General features: G+C 35.4%; 1 protein-coding gene across 4 annotated transcripts in view; it reads right to left on the bottom strand.

Annotated features, from left to right (window-relative positions):
• The window catches only part of PDHX (pyruvate dehydrogenase complex component X), an 80,209-nt gene that overhangs the window by 62,769 nt on the left and 2,815 nt on the right, over positions 1-14,625 (bottom strand). For all 4 annotated transcript variants that reach the window (XM_011520390.2, NM_001135024.2, NM_003477.3 and 1 more), the window contains exon 2: positions 1,876-1,956. In XM_011520390.2, the coding sequence (XP_011518692.1) occupies positions 1,876-1,936 (61 nt within the window). In that variant the 5' untranslated portion in view covers positions 1,937-1,956. The remainder of the gene's footprint in view (positions 1-1,875; positions 1,957-14,625) is intronic.

Below are 14,625 nucleotides of genomic sequence, written 5' to 3'. Positions count from 1 at the left end.
CCTTCAGTTATAATCTATTAGGGCCATATAATCAAACATCTGACATTTGAAATAGTGCCTCTCTGTATGGTTATGTAAGCAAATTGAGAGAGAGAAAAAGAGAGAGAAAAAAATGAATTAGAATCACCTGTCTCGTTTCAATCTTTAGGGCTCTTTTACACTTTAATTTTGTTTTAAAATTGTGCAAGATATGTATATTGTCCCAAAGTCAAAGAGACAAAACAAGATATATTCAGAAGTCCAGCTTCCAGTTTCTCCCCCACACGGTTCCCTCCATTACTCTGTAGATAACCAACTATTGTTGTTTTTAAAGTTTTATTTTATCCTTTCTAATTTCTTAAATATTAGCACTGCCACCTCTTTCTTTGATAAATGATATATACTATACTCACTTGTCTGTACCTTGCTTTTTTTCAATGAAGATCACCCCATAGCAGTATAAAGAGATATTCCTCATTCCTTTTTACAGGTGTAGATACAGTAAAAGTTATTCAACAAATCCTGTACTAACCAACATTTGGATTGTTTCTACCTTTTGCTATTTCAAACAGTGCTGTGATAAACAGCCTAGTGTGTGTTTGTGTCTATTCTTATTTTTGCTGGTGTAACACTGAGACAAATCCCTCGAAGTAGAGCTGCTGGGCCAAAGGGTAAACATAAATGTAATTTTTCTAAATAGTGCCAAATTCTCTTCCCTAGTATTTACACCATTTAGCATTTCCTCCAGCAATGTCTGAGAGTCCTGCTTCTTCCCTTCCCTCCACAGCATCATCAAGAGAACAGCTTGTCGAACTTTTTAAGTACTGTCAATATAATCAGTAAGAAATGACATTTCAGTAAAGTGTCTGCGTATTTCTTACCAGTTGAAAGGTTAGGCGTCTTTTTCTACGTGTAAGAGTCATTTGCAATTATTTTTCTGTAAACTATCTGTTCATGTATCGCCCACTTTCTTGTTGAGTTGACAGTCTTATCGATTTTTTAGGGATATTAACCCTTTGTGATAGAAATCGCAAATACTCTTGTCCAATTTGTCACTTCTTTTTTTACTTAACTTGTATTTTTAGCCATATAAAAGTTAGTACTTTTACCATCAAATTTTATTTCCCATATTATAATCTGGATTTTGAGTTATAGTTAGGGTGTTTATTCCACTTCCGGGTTCAGAGGAATTCAAGACTTGCATAGTTTCATTTTTATACATTAAGTGTATAATTCATTTGTAATTTATCCTTCACATAACATAAAGAATAAATCTAATATTGTCTTCCTTTATTATATACTTAAATTCCATGTGCAACTGCATCTATTTCTTTATTCTCTACTCAGCTGCACTGGTCTGTCTTTTAAGCACCAATCCCAGAGTTTTAATTAGAAATGCTTAATACTATATTTCAATAATTAGCAGGGCTACAACCCTCCTCCGCTGATCTGCTTTTGAGGGTTTTCCTTATATTCTACTTATTTGTTCTTTTCAATAAAATTTATGATGAACTTGCCTACCTCCCAGAACACACACACACACACACACACACACACACACACACACAATCATGATAAAGTTATAAATTAAGGAGAATGTCAAAACTATGATGTTGAAACTAAAAGCTAGGCATAAGGACTAAAAGTTGGGGAAAAAGCCTTAAAATATTTTTTACCATTCTGTGCTTGTGTAAGGATATATGCTGAACCCAGAAAACCTTTGCTGCTTTATCATGGGAAAATTTTATTCAACCAAACTTACATTAACTACCAAAGGAACACAATTTATTTAATTTATATCACATACTGTATAACAGGACAGATTAGGAAAAAAAAAAACAAAACAAAATAACCAAATAACAAAGCACACAGGACATTAGGAAGGTACCTCCTCACCTTCCTTTTTCAGCCATTTCACAATGTTTCCTTCTTCCATTGTAGGAGACAGTGATGGCATTAGTATCTTAATGGGATCACCTGAAATTGAAAAAAAGGAAAGATGAGCCACAACAAATAATGCACCTCATGAGGCATCAATATAAGTTCAAGTAAATTAACGTCAAATTCAATTTGAAAAAGAAGGTATTCCAAAGTCTAAAAGATTCCCAACTGGTAAACTAAGTCTCCAGTAAATTGTATGGAAACATAAAATTCAATTTTTTATAACCACAAAAGTGTTTTTTGGGATATTTTAAACTCTGTTTTCATAATTCCCCAGTGTTCTATGCATCTTCTCAAGCCAGGTGCTTATAAGTCAAAAAAAAAGGAGAAAAATTGATTTAGGATTGATTTAGGTTTCACCTCCTCCTTTCCCTTTTGTTTCTGCAAAATAGATTTACAGGTAAAATGACCAAAGAAAAAGCCAAATAAAACAACAACAACAAAACAGCAACAACAACAAAAACACGGTTCTGATGATCGACAACAGAATAATCAAGATCAGACTTTAAGAAACTGGCTGTTTTTATTTTCATCTAATATTATAGTATTCAAGATTCAAAGGTTCCTACTAATAAGTATGAAAGGAAACGTTTGCCTTGTCAAGGATGATCAGAATTTAAATGGTTAAATTAACCTCACATTTTGTTGCATACCACAATTCAACTGGGGATCCAGAGAAGTAGACCTCAAACCAGAATGATCTCCCAATGAAACATAACTACATTTTCCTTAGGTATCGAAAAAGCAAACACTATGTATTTGTCCGGCTGCACTTCCCAATCCACCGTCCAGGGTTACATTCAAGAGCACCATGGCTTTTAGATTACAATTTACTAATAAAATACCATGGTAACAAATACGTCCATCCCCTATAGCTTTCCATAGACCCTATTCTCTCTTCAGATTACTCAACTTTCCAGACCCAAACAAGCAAAACACTGTAGCATAGCTAACATATTTCAAATGTGGAAGAACAGGGCTTCTTTTGTCTCCCCTGATGTTTTAGGGTTAAAAGCAAGGAAATTGAGCACTAATGTTAAATGAGAATAAATATTTCTCTTGGGAAGCTGAATAACTTGTACTGCATTTTCAAATGGAGATTTCCTATGGCTTCGTGATAAAGGCGCTTCCACCTCTTTGAAGTATTTAAGAGAAAGTTTCTGTACCTCTCCACTTTTCCTTCACTCTGAAGGTCTGGAGAAAGAATGCAAGCATGCATACCTGCCTCACTCTCTTCCTTATTTTAAGAACTTCCTGATCATAGACAACCTGCAGTTTCCTATCAGCTCCTCCATCCACGTGCTAGACACACACGGCGCTGCCTTTCAAAAGCAGCTCCACAGGCCCCACCTCTCTGTGTTCTTGCCATCAGGGCCCACCAGGTATGAGGCAGCAATTCGGATATGCGTGTTTGCTTTGTACACACACAGTCTCCCTCTAAAACAGAAAGTTCAAAGTCTAAAGTGGGGTTGTACTAAGAAGCCCAGTCTTAGAAGGCCACAGATCTAAGTCACATTCTCCAATCCAATGTAACTATCAGCATTTGATCTCTATCTGTCTTACCCTTTCTCTCTCTCAACTGGCACCAAATTCTAAGAAGGCTGGAAAAGTAGAATTATCACTCCTAATGCCCCAAAAATGACACAGCCCAAACCAAAGTCCAAGTCAAACACGCCCATTTCATCAATGAGAAAACCACAATCCAGACTGATTACAGGATGCGAATCTTCATGCTAAACTCTCAAAGCTGTGCTAACTTTACATCTCAATGTTCCTTACAAATATGGATCATCAATTAATTAATGGTTATTGATAGCTTATATTCACTCAGAAATCCAAATATAGCAAACCAGACATATCAGATCCATGTGAGCATTCTTCATATGTCTAATCAAATATCCTTATAAGCCTTTTCCCCACCTTGAACATGCAGAATTCTTGTATTAAAACACCACTTTTGCCGAGGTGGGCAGATTTGAGGCCAGGAGTTTGAGACCAGCCTGGCCAACATGGCGAAACCCCACTCTATTAAAATTTAAAAATTAGCCAGGCGTGATGGCACACGCCTGTAATCCCAGCTATTTGGGGGGCTGAGGCATGAGAATCACTCGAATCTGGGAGGAGATGGTTGCAGTGAGCCAAGATCACTGCACTCCAGCATGGGCAACAGACCAAGACTCTGCCTGAGAAAAACAAAACAAAAATACCACTTTTACTACTGACAATGAATATTTCAAATGCATAAGAGAACAGGTTATCTCTAAGTGCATTATATATGAAAAACAGGAGGAAAAATAGCCACAATGAGTTTCCTAACTCCTAATTACGAAACACCGTTATTTTGGAAGACACTGAAGAACAAAGCCATCCAACTCCAGTCCACCATGACTCTCAATAACTGTAGCTGAAACAGTTTCACTGAATTCCCAAGCTACCTCTAGTTGAAATGCTAAATTATAACTAGAAGATAGCTTTCAAAATCTTTGCATTTTTTACTTAGTAAAATAAGTCCTTGTGATTAAAATATTAAATAGGTAAAAAATAATGCAAACTACTAAATACAACCATAATGTTTTGTCTATAAAATGCTGGAGAACTAAATTCTTGAGTGAACTAAAATTAGGGAAGTGCACTTGGAAAACACACATACACACATACTCTCTTACACACAGGAAAACTTATAACATTAGTGATGCATCTCCAAATCCAAACCATAACAATCCTACACTTAATTGCAAGAATTCTTAAAACGTGCATAAAGCTTAACACACTGAATGCATTTGGAGATAACAGAATGAGCTTTCTAATCCTCTACACTATGTGGTGTGTCTACTGCCTTTTTCTTTTTTACATGGCTTGATGAAAAAATCAAAAACAGTTGCTTAAAGAATGTACTGTCAGCCTGAGCCTCAGCATTTATTTTGTTAAGCTCAGAATAACAAACTCACTTGTTCTGGGGAAAAAAAAAAAAAAGGAGGGGGGTGGGCAAAAAAAAACTCTTATCTTTTAAATAGCACCACGGTAAGAGGCCAGCCTCTTTTCGAAAACAAAGGCTTAAAAAAAAAAAAGTCCCAATGTGTTCTTTCTATCAAAAAGTTCAAGCCAGGCATTATGAACAGAATATTTCATAAATATATACATATTACATTTATATATCAAAGAGTTCCATTTCAAAGAAGCAACTAAATGGACCTCAATGCTTCTATAGCCAGATTCCAATTTACGACAAATACTAACTTAATTCTCTTAAAGTCTCTCTCCAATATTTGTATGCTTTGGTTCCAGTTGTCACGACACAATTCACATTTATTTTATGATTCTATCTCCTGCTATAATCTCTCACCTAAGAGACCTTCACATTTCCATTACTCTTGACATTAAGGACTATATTATGAAACCTCTGCATTTATTATTATCTTTCAAGTTACCACATCAAGAACCTCAAAAATTTTCATATTTTAAAAATAAAAAGAACATAATCGTTCCTTAGTCACCCTTCATGAAATGAATTGAAATTGCTTATCTGAATTATGATAATACAAAAATTCTGTAGTAGATCATTATCTTTACTCTGAAATGAAGGTGACAAAAACCAAAGAAAGATATTTTGGACATCTCCATTATTCAATACTATCTCTTGATAGATTACACTCGCTTATTACGGAGAGTTAAATGTGCAATATATTTTGTAGTTATTCTAACTAATCTATCCTCAGGCTTTCATGCTAGAAAAATCATTTCATAAGCATTAATGTGTTAATAAAAGTACATATTTCATTCTAGCATACCCTCTTTTGATTAGAACACTATATGGTATCTTTTCCAGACGTATTTTTCTGATGGGAAAGTAATTACACAATCGTAAGATAAACTTGAAGTGACAGGCCTGCACATAATTAATATCTGCCCTTTATGGCTGCTGTCAACTCTACTAAGATAGTGTAGACTTTTCTAGACTCCTTGGAATGGAATTTTATCCTTTACCTAATATTAATTAATTTGCATTTGAACTTATATGCAGACTCCCTCCTTATTCCAGTAAGCTGTACATTCTACCATTCTCTTGTCAAATTAAGAAGGCCTTAAGATATGCACCAATTACGTTTCCTAGTATTAGTTTCCCACAACTACAGGTAAGTAGTTTGCTGCACTCATTACACAAGTTTTTCAATTAGTATTCACAAAGTTCTCAAAATTTAGTTAAAATTTAACGTTTTGTAGTCACTTCAGTGTTCTGCTCCTTCTTATAAAGCTAGCAAATTATATCTAATTGGCTTGTGAAGTCTACCCTTCCACAGCAGTTACAAAACATTTTTAAAAATTTTTAAATGACTATTGTAATGTATGTGGTCCAGTACTTTATATTTAAACTTGCTGATTTTAAAAGTAAAGTCTCATGACTCATAACTATTTTACTCTTTTTTTACATCAACAGAATGACACAATACATTAAAATTTTTTGCTTAGCTTATTGCTGTTTTCCCTGCCATTTCTGCTACATGAGCAATTTACCAATCACTGAATTTTACAGTAATCCCTCTAAGCAATTCCTGTATTTCCTCAAATGGGCTCTTCCAATTTTTCTACAGCATAATTCTGACTTCAATTTCAAATATGGTACACTAATCTAATTCTAGTTTCTTCTTCCCTAAAGTATTTCTTTTATCCTAAGAACAAAATGCTCATACTTCAGCAAACTCAATTATATCAAAGCTTTAAATTGATGATTGATTCATGAATGCTAAAAGGTCTCTAGATTAAAAAAAAAATTTAATACAAGCAAACTCTTAAAATACAAATGCAGAACAAACTGCTTTATGGTTAATATGAAGCAGATTTAAGCTCCATTACTCTGACTAAAGTAATTAAGGGAATTCAGCAGTTTACATATGGTACAGCTTAAACATCATGCTCTAGTTCATTTATAGGCTCTAGTTCATTTATAATCCAAGCATGCAAAAATCATGAAATGAAGATAGACCAAATGAAAAAGTAAATTATCCAGTACTTTCTTAGTGTGGCTCCCTGTCTCTAACATTAATTTGCTTCTTCTCTAATAGGGAGAGAGACTGTTCATTTAATCACTTCTCATTCCAATGTCAGAACACACTAAATAAAACGGAGCCTTCAAAATTGCTGTTCAAATGAAACAATTCTGCCATCTGCAGGCTGGATGAAATAAGGCAGAATAAAGTAAAAGTAATTTAAAAATCAGCACTAGGCACAGAGTAATATTAACACTTGGAATAAAGGCAGTTATAGTATTTTTTGTTTTAAAGGATCGTTTGTCATATAAGTCTTCTTTGTTCAAATAGTTATTTTGGTGTGGTACTGGAGTAAAAATAGACTGAAAATGTCAATGGACCACAACAGAAAATGAATGCACAACAGTTTGTGTGAAAACAGCATTTACAGGTCTTGGCATGCTAACAAACATAAAAAAGATAACCCATAAGCAATATATAGGTTGAGTATGCCTTATCAGAAATGTTTGGGACTATAAGAGTTCTTAATTTCAGATTTTTTCAGATTTTGGAATATTTGCATTCATTATTCTTACTGGTTGAGCATCCCTAATCTCAAAGTCCAAAATCCCAAATGCTACAATGAACATTCCTTTGAGCATCACCTCTGAGCATCATGTCAGTGCTCAAAAAGCTTTGGATGTCAGATTTTCAGATTAGAGATGCTCAAACCTGTATATGGCATCATCCAATTACTACCTGCCCAGCTTGTACACATACAAAGATTGAAATGAAATACTCCAAAATGACAATAGTAGTCATTCTAGCTAGTGATATTACTATAAGGGCTTTTTATTTCTTTTATTTCTGATAACCTACATTTTCATACATGTCTACAATAAATTTATCCAATCTTACTTCCTCTTTCAAACTTAACTAACACTAAGTTTAAAAATGTGCTGTTTGCTTTTGTTAATTTTAAGCAGAAACCCACAAGGACACAGAGAAAAGGAATAACAGCATACAATTTTGGAAGCAGAAAAGTAAATAGATACGTAATAATCAATTAAAGAGACCCTAGAAAGCTGTATCCTAAGCCAGGGAGGATTTGGGTGGCTGCTGTTTGAAAAGTAGCTAGATACCTGGATCCCCTCTCTTAATCCAGTGGTAGGTAACAACCCTACCCTCATTCAACAGAAGACTGAAGCTTGTTTTCTCTGCAGAGGGCAAAAAGAAGAGCTTGAAGTTCAATCTACATAGCTGAGGATATATAAAAACTGCAAAAATAAGTTAAGTGAGAAAGTATCTGATGTGGCTGACATTACAGAAAACTGTGTGGAGAAGCTATTACATACCGTGAGATAAATTAGAAATTATCACAGAAAAAACTAACTAAAAATTTAAAGGGCAGCAATAACTGCAGCAAAAAGAAAGCTAACAAACAAAATATGGGACAATCCTCAATTGTGCATAATATTTGTTTAATGTAAACACTGAATATTTGACCAAGAATTACAAAATAATTTCACTGGGGAGGGAAAACAGAGGGCGGCACTGACCGGCAGTCATCCACAGAAAACGGCTAAAATAGAAACAGAGAGATGGGCAAATGCCAGAAGAAAGTTAAGAGACAAAACTAGTTACTTCTAAGGAAGACTGGGAAAGTTGGGTGAGATGGGGCAGAGATCCACTGTACTGTTACAAGCCTTTCAGTACTATTTAAACTATATGCATGTACTATTGTGCTAAATGAAATATTTTATTATTTAAATATTTAATTTAAAAAAACTCAAGGAGAAGCAGAATACCACAGTGATTTAGAGAATAGGTACTGGAATCAAACTGCCTAGGCTCTAATTTCAGATCCACCACCTACAAGTTATTTATTCTATCTATGTCTGTTTCCTCTTCTCTAAAATGGTGCCATAAATAGATTTTTGTAAAGAAATAAGGTAGGCCGGGAGCAGTGGCTCATGCCTGTAATCCCAGCACTTTGGGAGGCTGAGGCGGGTGGATCACATTAGGTCAGAAGTTCAAGACCAGCCTGGACAACATGGTGAAAGCCCGTCTTTACTAAAAATACAAAAATTAGGCTTGGTGGCACATGCCTATAGTCCCAGCTACTTGGGAGGCCTGAAACCGGGAGGCAGAGGTTGCAGTGAGCCGAGACCGCCCCACTGCACTCCAGTCTGGGCGACAGAGTAAGGCTCCATCTAAAAAAATAGAAAGAAAGAAAGAAGGTAACACATGGGACTTGGCAAAGAATAAGTCTCAAAAATGTTAGTTATTTATTTTTGATGGGCAGCATAGAAACAATTAAGAGGGTATATTCTGGAGGCATCCAGATAGCTGGCTAGATGTATCACAATATCCTATTACATTGTAAGATGTCACAATATTGTAGAATATCACAGTTCCTTCTTGGAGTAATGAGAGATGCATTCACAGGTTCCTTTCACCTTCCCAGCCTAAACTTGAAGGTTCCCTTTTTACTCTCTCCTTTACCTTATTCAGCAGTGTTCTCATGACTAAAGTACACTAATTCTTGATCTCTATTCTAACTACATTTCATACTTGAAAACCAACCTCTCATTAAAATCACTGGCAAATGTTTTACCTTCAGTGCTCATACTATTCACTTCCAAAGCTAAAAGCCAAATCAGGCATTCAACAAATGCCTACTGAACACTTGTTATCCTAGCCCTAGACCAAACCAGATTCTCGACCTCAAAAGGATTAAAATTTAGATGAGAAGATAAATACACAAGTACTAGACAGTAGTAGATAAAAATGCCATTAGACCATCAAAGAATTATGAGAGCTGAGATTCTACCTGATGGAACACTGGAAAACAACAACAAAAAAATCTGTACTAGTATTACTTAATATCTATTAGGATGGCTATTATCCAAAAAAAAGCTAGGAAATGACCAAAATGTTTATGGAAATAGTCTCTAGACTAGGTGGTATTTACAGACAAATTACAGGGAGATCTGAGTCCTCTGGACTCAGAATTATATATAAAATTGTGTATGTATGCACTTTCCTGAAGAAGTTAGTGGTATAGCTTTTATAGTTTAACAGATTTGTTCCCCTCCAAAAACCAGGGCTAATATATTCCCAAGAAATCTCTCCTGAATTATACATTTGCTGATCCTAATTTTTCCCTAGGAATGTTTCATATAATAAAGTCCTTGATTTATACAGTAACAGAAAGATATCAAGCAGATCACTAGCTATAGTAAATGTACTGCCTACCAAAAAAATGAATCACCCATATACCCCATCTTGTTCATAGAATCTGCTGATTCTATATTATTATACTTCTACTTAGTATCCAATGGCACATTAGAAAAGAGGTTAGCCAGAATTTTTAGATAGCATATGGTGTAGAATGCATTTCCTTTGAATGAAATAAACCAAACATTTTAGAAGAGATTTCAGCTTGGAATACTGTCCTTCTTGGTATTAAACTATAAAATTAAAATTCTACATGAAGTTCACTTTACTTTGCCATCTTGGGAGAAGAGCCAAAAGAAATTACCATTCCATTTACAGCCTAGCAAAAGAATACATACACACACACACACACACACACACACACACACACAACGATACTTTGGGAATTTACACATTTTGTCGTAAAAGGCAAATTAAGCTCAAGACAACAACAAGAAGGTATATTTAAGAGTACATCACCTTAGAAATTTACAGATAGGAGAAGTCAATATATACTCTAACTCTCTTAAATAGTCCTGCCACCCTTACACGTAGTCAAGAATTTTGGTGTCCTTAATTGTTCTAAAATGATAGGCTGTCACAGAAATGCTAGTCTACAATGCGGTTATTACTATGTCTGATTTCATTTTTTTAAAAAAAGCAAAAATGTTCATTTAGGATGTACACACGGTGAACTTTAAAACGTCAGCATGCTGACACTGTTCTGCTGAAATCTATAATCAAGCTATCACTTGATACTGAGGTAGACTATGGTTAAGGAAACAGGCATTGGTGTCAGATCTGGGTTGAAACCTGAACTATCTACCAGAGTATAGTATTAGTTGTGAGTATTAAATGAGCTGATTCATGTAAAGTGCTTACAAGGGTGCATAGTATATAGTAAGCTCTCAACAAATGCTACTTATTATTCCCAAACCTATCCCCAAATTTCTTTCTTGCTGGTAGCTCAACTTTGTTCAGCAATATACTTTTCTTGTGCATATGTACTCAGAGTTAGTGATTCCACACCCATCCCCTTGATTAGCCAAAGTCTATACATTTTTCACACAGTGAAGTCAAGCCAGTGCCTAACTTAAGAAAGGGCATACGACCCAATTCTGGTCAATACAATATAAGAAAATTCTGCTGTGGTAACAGAAGATGTTTCTTGTTCTGCAAAAAAGACATCCAAGAAGAAAGGTCCTCTCTTCTTCCTCTGGATGTCATCACGTGCACAGTTCCAAAGTGGTCATCCACTTATCCACTAACCTTGGGTAAAATGCTAAAACCTCTCTGAGTCTATTTCTTCTCCCGTGAAACCTGGCAAACCTTTGCAGGGTTTTTATGATGGTTAGAAGTAATGCAAATATAGTGAGAGCTCAGTATGTGATGGCTACTTCTAATACCCTGCTTTCATAGACAGAATAAAATCCTTTAAAACAAGGTAAACATATACAAAGTATTTCCTGATCATCTAAATCTTCTTAGTCCCTCCTGTTGCTGCCTGTAGTAAGATCTCATTTACCCCTGTCCTATTTTCTTTGGATGGGCAAACATCTCAGCTGAGTAGCCTACAAGTGCTTTGCTTAGATGATACACTTTGCTTGGTCATTACTTAGCGCAGAAACAATTAAAATAAATAAAATAAAATAAAATACTGCATTACTGGCCTATTTTAGTCAGATGGTCATAGCAACAGAAATGTCAATCATTGATTCTCAACTACTTTCTTAAAGAAAATGTCCAAATCGTAGCCTTCGAAAGAATCAGCCTTGCATGCCCTGTAGCACAACTGGTCTACTTTGGGTCAGTTTCTCTATTCAAGGAATTTGAAAGGAGATTACAGAAATGATGGTGAGCACTTAAACAAAACTGACAGCGCATCGTGCATAAAGGCCTGAATCACCACTGAGGCAAGGCAAGCTGACACTGAGAAAGAAAAGCCAGGAGTAAACAGATTGATAATTGCAAGTCTGTACAGGAAAACAAAGTAAATAAGAGAAAGAAGACAAATAATATGAGCCCTAGAAGAAATAGATGGAATAATTATGGTTTCCCCATGGCCCTGCAGCATTTTATAAGTGATGTTCTATCCTTTTAATAAATCCTACTTTTACTAGAGCTATTCTACATGTTTCTGTTTCCACAGTTAAATGAGAATTCAAAGGAGAATATCAATCTTATCAGTGTATAAGCACTTAATAAGAACCAGGCCTAAAAGAGTATCCGTGTTTTGGCAGAAATACCATACCATTAACTCTATCAAAGAAGTTCCCTCTCTCCTGGTTATAGCACTGCTGTCAAAAACTCAGATGCCTACAAAAAACAGGCAGGTGAGAGAAGAGGACTAGCATCTTCAGGTTTTTTCTTTAGATTCTGACATCCTTTATTTTCATATTAAATGGATAAGCATTTTCCTCCTTTACACATATACACAATATCTGCTTTCTCCCATTTTTCTTGGTCTTTTGTCTTCTGCCTTCCGTAGAGATAAGAGTACAAGAAAAAAAAATGACAACTAGAGGTGATGCAAATACCAAGGGACATTCAGCCTTGCTAAGATGTAATACAGAGTAGGCGGCATAGTGACAAAGTAGGAAGCAATTTCCTACCTAAAAAGAACAATCATTACTCAGTGTTAGATAATTGTCACCACATAGGATTTAACTATCAATTTTAAAGAGAGAACAAAAATCTAGATTTCTCTGTAAAGTCTCCTGATTTTAAAATTTTGCCATAAGTTTTTCTGCTAAAACAATGTGGGTCAGTTCCCTGGCTGCCAACTTGGAATCCTACTGTAGGCTCTAGTGTTCTTTTATAACTTCCTAGATTACTAGCTTCCTTAGATATGTTTATTGAACATCTATAATATGTATTGCCTATAATTATATACTAGGCAAATCGCCACCAAGATTGAACCTCAGTTACTTTTCTATTCACAGGTTATTTTAAATTCAACATGTTATTCTTCAGAGACAACTTAAAACCAATACTATTAATTAACATCTTACCAATTATATTCCAAATCATGCTACCTACTCTGAAAGGACCACAATTTAAACTCTCTGAAGTTAACTGTCTAGAGTAGGTTGAAAAACTGTTTACAGATGCTGTGTCAATTATATAATGATCACTCTGGTCTCTGGGTCTTTGTTTCTGCTGTTCCTTCAGCCTGTAAGGGCTGTCACCTCTTCCTCTAAGAAGCTGCCTTATATATTATTTCCTGATCATTTCAAACTTACCCCCTCTGAGCTTACTGTATACACTATTGAAATCATACCTTTATTGTTTATGTCCCCAAAGAGACTACAAATACCTTAAGGATCAGCCCTATATAGAATTTTGGATTGCATGTCCAGGAGCTAAGTATGATTAAATGTGCCATGTGGCAAATACTGAGAATCTGTTTGATTCAGCTGGCCACTACTTCCCAAGCAGGGTACCATGTGCCTGGCACCTAATAGATGCTAATTTCTTCACTCATTCTTCAATAATGTAAGTGGTAAAAAAGATAGTCTCTGCATTCTCAATAAATCTGTTGAGAGAATGATACAAATTAAAGATTTGTTAAACAAATTAATATATGTATATAAATATATACATGCACTTCAGTTCATCAACACAGTTACATGTCTTTAGGAGACTCAATTTCTCTAAGCCTTGGTGTTTTTGTCCAACTAAATGCAGATGATGCCAACTTTACTAGGTTATGTGAGAAGTGAATGAGAAATTCTAGAAAGTGCTAAGAAAATGGCATATGTCATAGCTCATAAAAATGCTGCCAGCACCTCTTAAGGAAATTAAAACTCCAAAGGTAGTTCCGACTGACAAATTTTTAAAGATATTTGTGTGAAAGACGAAACAGTTCAATAAATGTACTTAATTTATATAGTTTACAGTAATCCAAATAGTTGTTTAGTTTTATAAAACTACAGTTTCTACCAAGCTCAGAGAAAAAACACCACCGTAAATTCACAGTTTGTAAAACAAATAGTTCAAGGATTGCCACGTGTTTTCGGCATGGCAAAACAAAAATCTGTATGTAGGTGAAAGTCAGAAGCGGATATATTTTGGCTCGGTATTAGGAAAAAAGTCCAACACTTCCAAATACTTAGTATTTCCAAATACTTTCCACAGCTTCACATGCAGAATGCCATGCCTCAAAAGGTTCACGTCCTAATACCCAGAACCTATGAATATGCTGTTACATGGCAAGAGGGAATTAAGGTTAAAGATGGAATTAAGGTTTCTACTCAACCTTGAGATGGGGAAAATATTCAGGATCATCCAGATGAGCCCAATGTAATCACAAGGGTCCTTGTAAGTGGCAGAAGGCAGAGGGGAGTATTAAGAGTGACGTAATGTGATAAAGACTGAACCAGCCATTGCTGACTTTGAAGCCCATGAGTCAAAGAATCTTAGAAACCTCTAGAATCTGGAAAACTTAAGGGAATGGGGTCTCGAGCCTCCAGAAAAGAATGCAGCTCCTACCAATAGCTTGATTTTAGCCTAGTTAGATCCA

This window comes from Homo sapiens, chromosome 11 (assembly GCF_000001405.40).
Source record: "Homo sapiens chromosome 11, GRCh38.p14 Primary Assembly".
NCBI classification, from domain to species: Eukaryota; Metazoa; Chordata; class Mammalia; order Primates; family Hominidae; genus Homo; species Homo sapiens.
Note: the sequence above shows the minus strand (reverse complement) of the source record. Positions and strands in the feature narration are given on the sequence as shown.